This window comes from Homo sapiens, chromosome X (genome assembly GCF_000001405.40).
Source record: "Homo sapiens chromosome X, GRCh38.p14 Primary Assembly".
Lineage (NCBI taxonomy): Eukaryota > Metazoa > Chordata > Mammalia > Primates > Hominidae > Homo > Homo sapiens.
In genome coordinates this window covers 155,724,699-155,740,707 of record NC_000023.11, presented here as the reverse complement: position 1 = coordinate 155,740,707, position 16,009 = coordinate 155,724,699, and the positions used below count along the sequence as shown (strand labels likewise).

The following is a 16,009-nucleotide window of genomic DNA, read 5'->3' as shown; positions in this document are numbered from 1 at the left end:
GTTCAGCTGTGCACGTATTATTGTCTTGATAAACATCTTAAACAACAGAAAACAGGGTTCGAGAGCAGAGAACCGGTCTGACCTTGAATTCACCAGGGTGGGGTTTTTCCCCACCGTAGTAAGCCTGAGGGTACTGCAGGAGACCAGGGCGTATTTCAGTCCTTATCTCAACCACATAAGACAGACACTCCCAGAGCGGCTGTCTATAGACCTCCACCCAGGAATGCATTCCTTTCCCAGGGTCTTAATTATTAATATTCCTTGCTAGGAAAAGAATTTAGCAATATCTTCCCTACTTGCACGTCCGTTTATAGGCTCTCTGCAAGAAGAAAAATATGGCTCTATTCTGCCTGACCCCGCAGGCAGTCAGACCTTATGGTTGTCTTCCCTTGCTCCCTAAAATTGCTGTTATTCTGTTCTTTTTCAAGGTGCACTGATTTCATATTGTTCAAACACAAATGTTTTACAATCAATTTGTACAGTTAACACAATAGTGGTCCTGAGGTGACATACATCCTCAGCTTATGAAGATAATAGGATTAAGAGATTAAAGCAAGACAGGCGTAAGAAATTATAAAAGTATTAATTTTGGGAACTGATATATGTCCATATTAAAGTGAAATCTTCATAATTTATGTTCCTCTGCTGCAGCTCCAGCTGGTCCCTCTGTTCGGAGTCCCTGACTTCCCACAACACATTATTACTTGCCTTATGAAGCCCACTTCTGTCAATCTAGCCATCTCAGCCTCAGCCCAGTTCTGTGCCCTTGTTGGAAAGGTGGTGTAGTCACTTGGAGGAGAAGAGGCACTCTGGCATTTTGAGTTTTCAGTGTTTTTGCATTGATTCTTTCTCATCTTTGTGGGTTTATCTTCAATCTTTGAGGTTGCTGGCCTTTGAATGGGGGTTTTTGTGGGGTCTTTTTTGTTGTTGTTGCTGTTGCTTCCTGTTTGTTTGTTTCTCTTTTAACAGTCAGGCCACTCTTCCACAGGACTGCTGCAGTTTGCTGGGGGTCCACTCCAGACCCTAGTCACCTTGGTCCCTCCCTCACCTGGATGTAACACCAGTGAAGGCTGCAAAACAGCAAAGATGGCAGCCGGCTCCTTCTTCTGAAAGCTCCATCCCAGTGGTCACCGACCTGATGCTGGTCTGAACACTCCTCTAGGAGGTATCTGGAGACCCCTGTTGGGAGATCTCACCCAGTCAGGAGGAATGGGATCAGGGGCCAGCTTCAAGAAGCAGTCTGGCTGCCCTTTGGCTGAGCAGATGTGCTGCACTAGGGGGAATCCTTCCACCTCGTCCAAACCACCCAGACTCTCCAGAGCCAGCAGGTGAAAATGCTGTCAGCTGAACTGCAGAGACAGTGGTTGCCCCTCCCCCTGGGGGCTCCATCTCAGGGAGAGATCAGAGTTATGTCCATATAACCCTGGTCGGAATTGCTGAAATTCCCACAGGGAGCCCCTCCCCACACATCCCAGTGAGGAGAGATGGGTTGGGATCTCACTTAAAGAAGTAGTCTGGCCATGATCCGGCACAGCAGCAGCTGTGCTTCCTTATGGAGAACTCCTGCTGGTCTGTACCACCTGGACTCTCTGGAGCCAGCAGGCTAGAATGGCTGACTTGAACCATAGAGATGGCATCTGCCCCTCCCCCCAGGAACTCAATCCATCTCAGGCTGTCTCCAGCCTGCTGCCTCTGGCCATCTCCAGCCTGCTGCCTCTGGCCAGCTGGAATTCTAACCCAGTGGGTTGTGACTTGTGAGGTTCCATGGAAGTGGGGCCCACAGAACAATGCCAGTTGGCTCCCTTTATTCAGCCCCCTTCCTAGGGGAATGTACAAATGATATCCCACCTCAACTGGAATTTCCAGGGTGGAGTATGCAAAGCTCCTGTGTCTCTGTGTGTGCCTGATCAGCTACTTTGCTGAGACTCTATACAGCCCTGTGCTTCAGACCCAAGGCCCTGGTGGTGTGGGCTCACAAGGGGATCTCCTGATCTGCAGGTTGCAAAGATCTGTGGGAAAAGCGTGGTTTCCCAGGAAGAATTGCATGATCACTCACCAACTCCCTTGGCTGGGGGTGGGGCTGTCCTGGCTCTGTACCACTTCTGGGTGGGCCATCACCCCACCCTGCTTTCCTTGCTGTCCATGGGTCGAGCCATCTGCCTAGTCAGTCCCAATGTGAGAACCTGGATCCCTCAGTTGAAGGTGCAGAATTCACTCACCATTTTCATTCCTCTCCATGAAAGCCATGGACTGAAGCTGCTTCTAATCGACCATCTTGGCCTGTCCTATTTGTTTTCTTTAGTTCAATGTCTGTTCATGTTTTTGACCACTTTCTAATTGGATTGTTTGATTTTTTTTTTACTGTTGAGTTCCAAGCACACTTTATATATATTGTGGAAACAAATTATCTATTGCAGTTGTGACTTGCAAGCATTTTTTTTTCCCAGTCTGCACCTTGTTTTTTCATCCTCTTAACATCTTTTTCCCAGTGCATTTTTTTCATTTTGATAAAGTCTAATTTAGCAATTGTTTTCTTTTAAAGATTTGTGCTTTTGGTCTCAGGTATAAGAACTCTTTATCCACCTGTAGTTCCCCAAAATTTTATCCTATGTTTACTTCCAAAAATGTTTTACAGTTTACATTTAAATCCATGATCTATTTTGCATGGATTTTTATACAAGGTGTGAGAATTAGGTCCTAATTATTTTTTAAAGGTGAGTGCATTCAAATATACTTGGGTAACTCAAATTTAATTAAAAATAGAAATCAGAGGTGGTAATAATATAAGGTTAAATACACTCTTATATTCCCACATTCCAATTCATACCCCATTTTGAAGGTAGAGAATCTTCCTAAAGTACAATTCATATTGTATCACTCACTTGCTTAAATTCTTTCAACACCTCCTCACTTACCTCAGGATAAATTCTAAACTCCTTACTATGAGCAAAAGGCTTCACATGATTTGGGTCCTCTCCAGTCTTATTTTTGCCACCCTGTTCTCTATCCCCCAGTCACATTCACAATCCAGCCACAGTGAACTTCTTCAGTTTCCTAACTATCACATCCAGGTCTTCAAACATGTTTGGAACATTTTTTATTCATTCTTTATTTGGTTAGCTCCTATTTATCCTTTAGGTCTCACCTTGATCATAACTTCTTCCTAGAAAGCCTTCCCTAACTCCCCATCTGCGTTATATTGCCCTTTCTATGTTCTTACATAGTACTCTGTATGATCCTCATTATGGCATTTTTTACATTGTATTATAGTTGTCTGTTTACTTGTCTGCATCTTACCTCTAGATTATGAGTCTCATAATGACAAGGATTATTTCTATTGTGCTCACCATTGTTTCACAGATAACTAGCACCCTGCCTGAATCATACTGATGTTCAACAAATATTTGCTAGCAAACACATGGAATCAATCTAGATGCCCATCAATGGTGGATTGGATAACCAAAGAACAAAAAAACAACCAGTCTGAAGAGACAAGGTAAGCATCACAGCCACACTTGGATGCAGCAGAAATTTAGGAATTATAAGACCAGAAATTTAAAATAGGTATAACTAATATGTTAAGGGCTGTAATGGAAAAAGTGAACAACATTCAAAAATAGACAGATAATACAAGCAGATAGATGAAAATTCTAAGAAAGAATCAAAAGCAAATAAGCAAATGCTAGAAACAAAAAAACACTATTACATACATAATGTCTTTGATGGGCTCACCAGTAGACTAGACATGGTCCAGGAAAAGATCAGTGAAACTGAAGATATGGCAATATTAGCTTCCCAAGCTGAAAATCGAAGAGAAAAATTAGTGAAAAAATAGAATATTCAAGAACTGTGTGACAACTACAGAAGATGTGATATACATGTAATAGGAATCCCAGAAGAAGAAAGAGAGAAAGAAACAAAATAAATATTTGAAATAATAATGGCTGAGAATATTCCAAAATTATTAACAGATACCAAACCACAGATGCAAAGAAGCTCAGTGAATACCAAGCAGGAGAAATACCAAAATAAACAAACAAAAAACTACACTTAAGCATATCATATTTAAACTACAGGAAAGCAAAGATAAAGAGAAAATCTTGAAGGAAGCCAGAGGGGGAAAACATCTTATCGTTAGAAGAACAAGGGTAAGAATTTCAGAAACTTATCAGATACCATGAAAGCAAGAAGAAAGTGGAACGAAGTATTTAAAGTGTTGAAAGAAAAAAACCCACCAACCTAGAGTTCTATATCCAATTAAACTGTCCTTCAAAGTGAAGGAGAAATAAAGACTTTCTCATACAAACAAAACTTGAGGAAATGTGTCACCAGTAGGCTTGTCTTGTAAAAAAATGTTAAAAGAAGGCCTTCTCCTTCAGGGAGAAGGAAAATGATATAGGTCAGACACATGGATCTGGATTACAAAGGAAGAGTGTTCAAAAATACATAAATGAAGGTAAAATAAAATATTTTATTTTTCTTATGTTTCAGTGGCCTAACAGGTAAAAGTTTGTTCAAAATAATAAGAGCAATGATATGTTGGATATCGCTTATGAATAAGTGAAATATATGACAGAAATGTTTAAGGGATAGGAGAGAGGAACTAGGAATATTTTTTATAAGGTACCTGCACTTTCTGTGAACCAGTATGGTGTTATTTGAAAGTAGATTTAGATTAGTTGTAAATGCATATTGCAAACTCTAGGACAACCACTTAAAATTTTTCAAAGGAAACAAACAATATGCTAAGAGAAAAGAGAACATTGAATCATATAATATGTTCAACTTAAACCAGGAAAGAAAAAAAAAGAGTGGAAGATAGAAAAAGATAAAGAACCGGTGGAAAAAGAGAACAATTATAAAAAGGTACATATTAATCAAACCACATCAATAATGACTTTAAATGTGAATGGTCTAAATACACCAATTAAAACACAGATTATCACAGTGGATAAAAAACAAAGAACCAACTATATGTTGTCTACAAGAAATCCAATTTAAATATAAAGACCCAGATATATTAAAAGTAAAGGGTTAGAGAAATATATGCCATGCTGTCAGCAATCAAAAGAAAGCTTGAATAGCTGTATCAATATCGCATGAAGCAGATTTCAGAGCAAGAAAAATCTTCAGGGATAAAAATGGCCATTACATAATAAAGGGGTCAATTCTCTAAGAAGAAACAACAATCCTTCATGTATCTGTGCCTAAAAACAGCATTAAAATAGATGAGGCCAAAACTGATAGAACTGCAAGAAATAATCCACTTTTATAGTTGGAAATTTCAACATCCTTCTCTCAAAAAGCAACAGATTCAGCAGGCAGAAAATCAGGATATAATTGGACTGAAAGCACTGTTAATTAACTGGACCTGATTGACATAGAATGTCAATTCTATAAATTCTATAAATGTGGAACATTTATCAAGATAAATCACATCTTGGGCTTTAAAACACACCTTAACAAATTAAAAATAATTAAAATCATACAAAGTATTCTCTTAGACCATATTGGAATTAAACTAGTCATTAGTAACAGAAAAATAGGAAGAAAACCTCCAAAACATTTGGAGATTAAAAAACATACATATAAATAACACATTGTTCAAAAATAAAATCTCAGAAAAAGTTAAATTTTTTTTAATTAAATGAAAATAAAAGTATAATTTATCAAAATTTTCAGAATGTAGCAAAAGCAGTGCTTAGAAGGCTATTAATAGCATTTAATGGACATATTAGAAAGAAAGATATAAAATCAATAATATAAACTTTTACCTGAGGAAACTAGAAAAGAAAGGCAAGTTAAGTCCAAATTAAGTAGAAGAAATAAAATAGTAAAATTAGGGCAGCAATCAAAGAAATTGAAAACAAGAAATTAAGAGAGAAAATCAATGAAACCCAAATCTAGTTCTTTGAAAAGATCAATAAAATTAGTAAACCTCTAGCCAGGCTAACCAAGAAAAAAAGAAGATAGAAATTATTAATACAGGCATACCTCATTTTATTGTGCCTTGGATTAATGTGCTTTGCAGAGATTTTGTTTGTTTGTTTGTGTGTGTGTGTTTTTTTTTCAAATTGAAGATTTGTGGACACTCTATACCGTTTTTCTAACAGCATGTACTCACTTCATGTCTCAGTGTCACATTTGGGTAATTCTTACAGTATTTCAAACTTTTTCATTACTATTATATTTGTTATGGTGATCTATAATCAGTTATCTTTGATGTTACTATTACAGATCTATATTCAATTATCTTTGACGTTACCATTACAGTTCTTTCAGGGTGCCACAAACTGCACTCATATATGACAGCAAAGTTAACTGATCAATGTTGTGTGTGTTCTGACTGCTCCACTGACTGGCCATCCCTCATCTCTTTCCTTCTCCTCAGGGCTCCCTATTCCCTAAAATACAACAGTATGGAAATTAGGCCAATTAATAACCTTACAATGGCCTTTACATGTTCAAATGAAAGGAAAAGTTACATGTCTCTCCTTTAAATCAAAAGCTAGAAATGATAAAGCTTAGTAAAAAAGACATGTCGGAAGGCAGGACAGGCTGAAAGCTAGGCTTTTTGTGCCAACCGGCCAAGTTGTGAATGCAAAGAAAAAGTTCCTGAACAAGATTAAAAGTGCTACTCCAGTAAACAAATAAATGATAAGAAAGTGAAACAGCCTTATTGCTTATCCGGAGAACGTTTTCGTGGTCTAGATAGCTGAAACCAGCCACAATATTCCATTAAGCCAAATCCAGAGCAAGGCCTTTACTCTGTTCAATTCTATGAAGCAAGGAAGCTGCAGAAGAAAAGTCTGAAGCTAGCAGAGGCTGGTTCATGAGATTTAAGGAAAGAAGCCATTTCCATAACAAAAGTGCAAGGTGAAGCAGCAAGTGCTGATGGAGAAGCTGCAGAAGATCTAGCTCAGAAAACTGTTAAAGGTGGCTACACTAAGCAATAGAATTTCAATGTTGATGAAACAGTCTTCTGTTGGAAGAATATGCCATCTAGAACTTTCATAGCTAGAGAGAAGTCAATGCCTGACTTCAAAGCTTCTAAGGACAGGCTGACTCTCTTGTTAAGGGCTAATGCAGCTGGTGATATTAAGTTGAAGCCAATGGTCATTTATCATTCTGAAAGTCCTTGGGCCCTTAAAAATTATGCTACATTTACTCTGCCTATGCTCTAGAAATGGAACATCAAAGCCCAGGATGACAGCAAATCTGTTACCAGTATGTTTTTTTTAATTTTTAATTTTTGTGGGTACATAGTAGGTGGGTATGTGTATATATATATATCTTCAGCATATATATGTATATGTATATATATCAGCATGTATATATACATTATACATATATGTATATATATATCAGCATATATATGTGTATATATATACATACCCACCTACTATGTGTATATATAGTGTGTGTGTATATATATATAGGGTATATGGTATATTTTGATGATACAGGCATACAATGTGTAATAAATTACATCAGGGTAAATGAGATATCTATAATCTCAAACATTTATCCTTTGTGTTACAAACAATCCAAACATACTCTTTTAGTTATCTTAAAATGTACAACTAAATTATTATTAAATATAGTCACCCTATTGTACTATCAAATACTGGAATTTATTCATTCTTTTTACTGTTTTGTACCCATTAACCATTCCCCTTCTCTCTCCCCACTACACTTCTAGGCTCTGGTAACCATCATTCTGCTCTCTATCTCCGTTGAGCCCAGTTGTTTTAATTTTTAGCTCCCATGACTAAGTGAAAATAAAAAATGAAAGCGAAGATTGTCCTTCTGTGCCTGGCTTATTTCACTCAACACAATGACCTCCAGTGCCATCCACGTTGTTGCAAATGACAGGATCTCGTATTTTATAAGGCTGAATAGTGCTCAAGAGTGTATATGTGCCACATTTTCTTCATTCATCTGTTGATAAACATTTTGGGTTCCTTCCAAATCTTGACTATTGTGAATAGTGCTGCAATAAACATGGGAGTGTAGATATCTCTTCAATATACTGATTTCTTTTCCTTTGGGTATATACCCAACAGTGGGATTGCTGGATCATATGGTAACTATATTTTTAGTTGTTTTGAGGAACCTCAAACTGATTTCCATAGTGGTTGTATTAATTTATATTCCCACTGACAGTATGAGGTTTCCCTTTTCTCCACATACTTGGCACTATTTCTTATTGCTTGTCTTTTGGATAAAATCAATTTTAACTGGGCTGAGATATCTCATTGTAGTTTTGATTTGCATTTCTCTAATGATCACTGAGGTTAAGCACCTTTTCATATGACTGCCATTTGTATCTCTTCTTTTCAGAAACATCTGTTCAGGTCTTTTGCACATTTTTTCACCCTTTTCCTTTTTAGTAAAAGAAAAGTGCAGCTCACTACCAGCACTCATTTAATTTTACATAAACACACTCTTTGAGGCTGGAGCAAATCTGACTGATTTGCAATGTAAAAATAAAATATAAAAACTGTTTTTGGAGTTTTTTTCTAAACAGAACTAACATCAGAATCATCTGACTCATCAGAATCGTCTATTTTGGAAAACTCAGATTCTTCAAATGAATCTTCGGCCAAAAACTGTACAAGAACAATGTTAACGTGACATCTAGGAAGGCTACGTTTTCTAAGATTTGACATTTTTATCAATTGAGATTTACTATATTTTGTAAACGGAAATACCATTACTAAAAACAGAATGCTATAAATAGAATGATGTGTTTTGTTTCCAAAGTCAATGTACTGGAGCAATGCAAAAATAATACTAATCTTACTTTCACTTCCTTGGTTAATACTTGCAAGCACTGTTGGCAAGTGTTCTTAAGTCCAATGGGAAAAGGGCTAATAAGATTGTTAGATTTTTTCCTATAGAGTTGTTGGAACTCTTTATATATTCTGATTATTAATCTCTTGTCAGATGGGTAGTTTGCAAATATTTTCTCCCATTCTCTGGGTTGTCTTTTCATTTTGTTCATTGTTTCCTTTGCTGTGCAGAAGCTTGTTAACTTGATATGATCCCATTTGTCCACTTTTGCTTTGGTTTCCTGTGCTTGTGGGATATGACTTAAGAAATCTTTGCCCCGTCCAATTTGCTAGAAAGATTCCCCAGTGTTTTCTTGTAGTAGTTTCATAGTTTGAGATATTAGATTTAAGTCTTTAATCAATTTAGATTTTATTTTTGTACATGGCAAGAGATAGAGGTTTAGTTTCATTCTGCATGTAGATATCCAGTTTTCCCAGCATCATTTATTGAAGAGTTTGTCTTTTCCCTAATGTATGTTCTTGGCATCTTTGTCAAAAATGAGCTCACTGTAGATGTATGGATTTGTTTCTGACTTTTCTATTTTGTTCCTTTGGTTTACGTATCTGCTTTTATGCCAGTATCATGCTGTTTTCTTTACTATAGCTCTGTAGTATAATTTGAAATCAGGTAATGTGATCCTCCAGTTTTGTTCTTTTGGCTCAGGATAGCTTTGGCTATTCTGGGTCTTTTGTGGTTCCATATAAATTTTAGAATTGTTTTTTCTGTTTCTGTGAAGAATGTCATTGGTATTTTGATAGGGATTGCTATGAATCTGTAGATTGCTTTGGGTAGTATGGACATTTTTACAATATTGATTCTTCCAATCCATGAACATAGAATATCTTTTCTTTTTTTTGTATGTCCTCTGCAATTTCTTTCATCAATATTTTATAGTTTTCATTGCAGAGATTTTTCACTTCCTTGGCTAAATCTCACGTATTTGATTTTACTTGTAGCTATTGTAAATGGGATTACTCTCTTGATTTCTTTTTCAGATGGTTCACTGTTGGCATATAGTAATGCTACTGATTTTTGTATCTTGATTTTGTATCCTGCAATGTTACTGAATTTGTTTGATCAGTTCCAATAGGTTTCTGGTGGAGTCTTTAGGTTTTTCCAAATATAAGATCATATCATCTGCAAACAAGGATAATTTAACTTCCTCCTTTCCAATTTGGAGGCCCTTTATTTCTTTCTCTTGTCTGATTGCTCTAGCTAGGACTTCTAATGCTACGTTAGTAACAGTGGTGAAAAAAAGCATCCTTGTCATGTTCTGATCCCCATTCAGCATGATACTAGCTGTGGGTCTGTCATATATGGCTTTTATTATATTGAGGTATGTTCCATCTATATATCCAGTTTTTAAAGGGATTTTATAATGAAGCGATGTCAAATTTTATCAAATGCTTTTTCAGCATCTATTGAAATGATCACATGGTTTTTGTCCTCCATTCTGTTGATATGATGTATCATATTGCCCAATCTGCATATGTTGAACCATCATTGCATCCCTGGGATAAATCCCACTTGGTCATGATGAATGATCTTCTCAATGTGTTGTGCAACTCGGTTTGCTAGTATTTTGTTGAGGATTTTTGCATCAATGTTCATCAGGGATGTTGGCCTGTAGTTTTCTTTTCTTGATGTGTCTCTGTCTGGCTTTGGTATCAGAGCAATATGGCTCATAGAATGAGTCTGGAATTATTCCCTTCTCCTTTGTTTCTTGGAATAGTTTGAGTAGGATTGGTATTAGTTCTTTAAATGTTTTTTAGATTTCAACAGTGAAGCCATTGGGTCCCAGGCATTTCTGTGCTGGGAGACTTTGATCCTGTTACTTGCTACTGGTCTGTTCAGGTTAAGATTTCTTCATGGTTCAATCTTAGTAGGTTGTATGTGTCCAGGAATTTATCTATTTATTCTAGATTTTCCAATTTATTGGCACATAGTTGCTCATAGTAGCCACTATTAATCCTTTGAATTTTTGTGGTATTGGTTGTGATATTTCCTTTTTCATCTTATTTTACTTATTTGCATCGTCTATCTTTTTTTTCTTAGTGAGTCTGTCTAAAGTTTTGTGAATTTTGTTTATCTTTTCAAAAACCCAACTTTTTCTTTTTTTGGTATTTTCTATTATTTTCTTCATTTCAATTTCATTTATTTTTGTTCTGATCTTTATTTTCTCTACTAACTTTTGGTTTGTTTTGCTCTTGCTTTTCTAGTTCTGTAAGAGGCATCATTCAGTTATTTATTTGAAGTTTTTATTCTTTTTTAACATAGGCACTTACAGCTATAAACTTCACTCTTAGTAGTGCTTTTGCTGTATCTCATAGGTTTTCATATGTTGTGTTCCCATTATTATTTGTTTCAAGAAATTTTTAAATTTTCTTCTTAATTTCTTCATTGACCCACTGTTCATTCAGGAGCATATTGTTTAATTTCCATGTATTTCTTTAGTTTCCAGAATTCCTTTTGTTATTGATTTCTAGTTTTATTCCATTGTGGTCAGAAAAGATGCTTGATATTATTTCAATTTTTTGAATATTGTAAGCCTTTTTTTGTTACCCCAAAATATAATCTATCTTAGAGAATGATCCACGTGCTAAGGAAAAGAATGTGTATTCTGTAGCTGTTGAATCAAATGTTCTGTAAATATCTATTATATTCATTTAGTTTATAGTGCAGACTAAGTCTGAATTTCTTTGTTGATTTTTTGTTGGATATCTGTCCAATGCTAAAAGTGGGCTGTTGAAGTCTCCAGCTATTATTGTATTTGGGTCTCTCTCTTTAGCTTGAATATTTGCTTTATATGTCTGGGTTCTCCAGTTTTGACTGTGTATATATTTAAAATTGTTATATCCTCTTGCAGAATTGACCCTATTATCATTATATAGTGTCTTTCTTTGTCCCTTCTAATAGCTATTGTCTTGAAATCTAGTTTGTCTGTATATGTATAGCTACTTCTGCTAATTTTTTGGTTTCCATTGGCATGGAATATCCTTTTCCATTCCTTTATTTTTAACCTATGTGTGTGTTTGAAGGTGAAGTGTTTCAGTGGGTCCAGCCCACGGTGGGCGAGTCAAAGCAGGGCAGGGTGTCGCCTCACCTGGGAAGCACAAGGGGTCAGGGGATTTCCCTTTCATAGCCAAGGGAAGCCATGACAGACTGTACCTGGAAAAATGAAACACTCCCGCCCAAATACTGTGCTTTTCCCATGGTCTTAGCAACTGGCAGACCAGGAGATTCTCTCCCATACCTGGCTTGGCAGTTCCCATGCCCACGGAGCCTTGCTCACTGCTAGTGCAGCAGTCTGAGATCAACCTGCAAGGCTGCAGCCTGGAGGGGGAGGGGCGTCCACCATTGCTGAGGCTTGAATAGTTAAACAAAGCGACTGGGAAGTTCGAACTGGGCAGAGCCCACTGTAGCTCAGCAAGGCCTACTGCCTATATAGACTCCACCTCTGTGGGCAGGGCATAGCTGAACAAAAGGCAGCAGAAACTTGTGCAGACTTAAATGTCCCTGTCTGACAACTCTGAAGAGAGCAGTGGTTCTCACAGTATGGCGTTTGAGCTCTGAAACAGACCGCCTCCTCAAGTGGGTCCCTGACACCTGTGTAGCCTAACTAGGAGACACCTCCCAGTAGGGGCTGACAGACACTTCATACAGGCAGGTGCCCCTCTGGGACGAAGCTTCCAGAGGAAGGATCAGGTAGCAAGATCTGCTGTTCTGCAATATTTGCTGTTCTGCAGCCTCCACTGGTGATACCCAGGCAAACAGGTTCTGGAGTGGACCTCCAGCAAACTCCAACAGACCGGCAGCTGAGGGACCTGACTGTCAGAAGGAAAACTAACAAACAGAAAGAAATAACATCAGCATCAACAAAAAGGACATCCACACCAAAACCCCATCCACCAACATCAAAGACCAAAGGTAGATAAAACCACAAAGATGGGGAGAAACCAGAGCAGAAAAGCTGAAAATTCTAAAAATCAGAGTGCCTCTTCTCCTCCAAAGAATTGCAGCTCCTTGCCAGCAACAGAACAAAGCTGGACGGAAAAAGACTTTGACGAGTTGACAGAAGTAGGCTTCAGAAGGTTGGTAATAACAAACTTCTCTGAGCTAAAGAAGCACATTCTAACCCATTTCAAGGAAGCTAAAAACCTTGAAAAAAGATTAGATGAATGGCTAACTAGAATAAACAGAGTAGAGAAGACCTTACATGACCTGATGGAGCTGAAAACCATGGCACGAGAACTTCGTGAGGAATGCACAAACTTCAATAGCTGATTTGATCAAGTGGAAGAAAGGATATCAGTGATTAGAGATAAAATTAATGAAATAAAGTGAGAAGACAAGATTAGAGAAAATAAAAAGAAATGAACAAAGCCTCCAAGAAACATGGGACTATGTGAAAAGACCAAATCTACATCTGATAGGTGTACCTGAAAGTGACGGGGAGAATGGAACCAAGTTGGAAAACACTCTGCAGGATATCATCCAGGAGAACTTCCCCAACCTAGGAAGGCAGGCCAACATTCAAATTCAGGAAATACAGAGAACACCACAAAGATACTCCTCGAGAAGTGCAACCCCAAGACACATAATTGTCAGATTTACCAAGGTTGAAATGAAAGAAAAAATGTTAAGGGCAGCCAGAGAGAAAGGTTGGGTTACCCACAAAAGGAAGCCCATCAGACTAACAGCGGATCTCTTGGCAGAAACCCTACAAGCCAGAAGGGAGTAGGGGCCAGTATTCAACATTCTTAAAGAAAATAATTTTCAACCCAGAGTTTCTTATCCAGCCAAACTAAGCTTTATAAGTGAAGGAGAAATAAACTCCTTTAGAGACAAGCAAATGCCGAGAGATTTGTCACCACCAGGCCTGAAGGAAGCACTAAACATGGAAAGGAACAACCAGTACCAGCCCCTGCAAAAACATGCCAAATTGTAAAGACCATTGATGCTATGAAGAAACTGCATCAACTAATGGGCAAAATAACCAGCTAACATCATAATGACAGGATCAAATTCACACATAACAATATTAACCTTAAATGTAAATGGGCTAAATGCCCCAATTAAACAACACAGACTGGCAAATTGGATAAAGAGTCAAGACCCATCAGTGTGCTGTATTCACGAGACCCATATCATGTGCAGAGACACACATAGGCTCAAAGTAAAGGGATGGAGGAAGATCTACTAAGCAAATGGAAAGCAAAAGAAAAGCAGGAGTTGCAATCCTAGTCTCTCATAAAATTGACTTTAAACCAACACAGATCAAAAGAGAAAAAGAAGGCCATTACATAATGGTAAAGGGATAAATTCAACAAGAAGAGCTGACTATCCTAAATATATATGCACCCATTACAGGAGCACCCAGACTCATAAAGCAAGTCCTTAGAGATCTACAAAGAGACTTAGACTCCCACACAATAATAATGGGAGACTTTAACACCCCACTGTCAATATTAGACAGATAAACGAGAAAGAAGGTTAACAAGGATATCCAGGACTTGAACTCAGCTCTGCACCAAGTAGATGTAATAGACATCTACAGAACTCTGCACCCCAAATCAACAGAATATACATTCTTCTCAGCACCACATCGCAGTTATTCTAAAATTGACAACATAATCGGTAGTAAAGCACTCCTCAGCAAATGAAAAAGAACAGAAATCACAATAAACTGTTTCTCAGACCACAGTGCAATCAAATTAAAACTCAGGATTAATAAACTCACTCAAAACTGCACAACAACATGGAAACTGAACAACCAGCTCCTGAATGACTACTGTGTACATAATGAAATGAAGGGAGAAATAAAGATGTTCTTTGAAATCAATGAGATCAAAGACACAACATACCAGAATCTCTGGGACACATTTAAAGCAGTGTGTAGAGGGAAATTTATAGCACTAAATGCCCACAAAAGAAAGCAGAAAAGATCTAAAATTGACATCCTAACATCACAATTAAAAGAACTAGAGAAGCAAGAGCAAACAAATTCAAATGCTAGCAGAAGGCAAGAAATAACTAAGACCAGAGCAGAACTGAAGGAGATAGAGAAACAAAAAACCCTTCAAAAAATCAATGAATCCAGGAGCTGCTTTTTTGGAAAGATCAACAAAATCAACAGACCGCTAGCAAGACTAATAAGAAGAAAAGAGAGAAGAATCAAATAGATGCAATAAAAAATGATAAAGGGGATATCACCACCCATCCCACAGAAATACAAACTACCATCAGAGAATACTATAAACACCTCTACACAAATAATCTATTAAATCTAGAAGAAATAGATAAATTCCTTGACACATACACCCTCCCAAGACTAAATCAGGAAGAAGTTGAATCTCTGAATAGGCCAATAACAGGCTCTGAAATTGAAGCAATAATTAATAGCCCACCAACCAAAAAAACGTCCAGGACCAGACGGATTCACAGCCGAATTCTACCAGAGGTACAAAGAGGAGCTGGTACCATTCCTTCTGAAACTATTCCAATTAATAGAAAAAGAGGGAATCCTCCCTAACTTATTTTATGAGGTCAGCATCATCCTGATACCAAAGCCTGGCAGAGGCACAACAAAAAAGAGAATTTTAGACCAATATCCCTGATGAACTTCGATGCAAAAATCCTCAATAAAATACTGGCAAACTGAATCTAGCAGCACATCAAAAAGCTTATCCACCATGATCAAGTTGGCTTTATCCCTGGGATGCAAGGCTAGTTCAACATACACAAATCAATAAATGTAATCCATCACGTAAATGGAACCAATGACAAAAACTACATGATTATCTCAATAGATGCAGAAAAGTCCTTCGACAAAATTCAACAGCCCTTCATGCTAAAAACTCTCAATAAACTAGGTATTGATGGAATGTATCTCAAAATAATAAGAGCTGTTTATGACAAACCCATAGCCAATATCATACTGAATGGGCAAAAACTGGAAGCATTGCCTTTGAAAACCGGCACAAGACAAGGACGCCCTCTCTCACCACTCCTACTCAACATAGTGTTGGAAGTTCTGGCCAGGGCAATCAGGCAAGAGAAAGAAATAAATGGTATTCAATTAGAAAAAGAGGAAGTCAAATTGTCCCTGTTTGCAGATGACATGATTGCATATTTAGAAAACCCCATTGTCTCAGCCCAAAATCTCCTTAAGCTG

The 16,009-nt window shown here is 37.4% G+C and overlaps 1 protein-coding gene across 4 annotated transcripts in view; it reads right to left on the bottom strand.

Annotated features, from left to right (window-relative positions):
* SPRY3 (sprouty RTK signaling antagonist 3) overlaps positions 1-16,009 on the bottom strand; it is a 169,874-nt gene that overhangs the window by 41,752 nt on the left and 112,113 nt on the right. The window contains exon 2 of one of the 4 annotated variants that reach the window (NM_001394354.1): positions 3,733-3,800. The exons of the other annotated variants lie outside the window; for them this stretch is intronic. The gene's annotated coding sequence lies outside the window, so the exon portion shown is untranslated. The remainder of the gene's footprint in view (positions 1-3,732; positions 3,801-16,009) is intronic. 4 annotated transcript variants of the gene reach the window in all.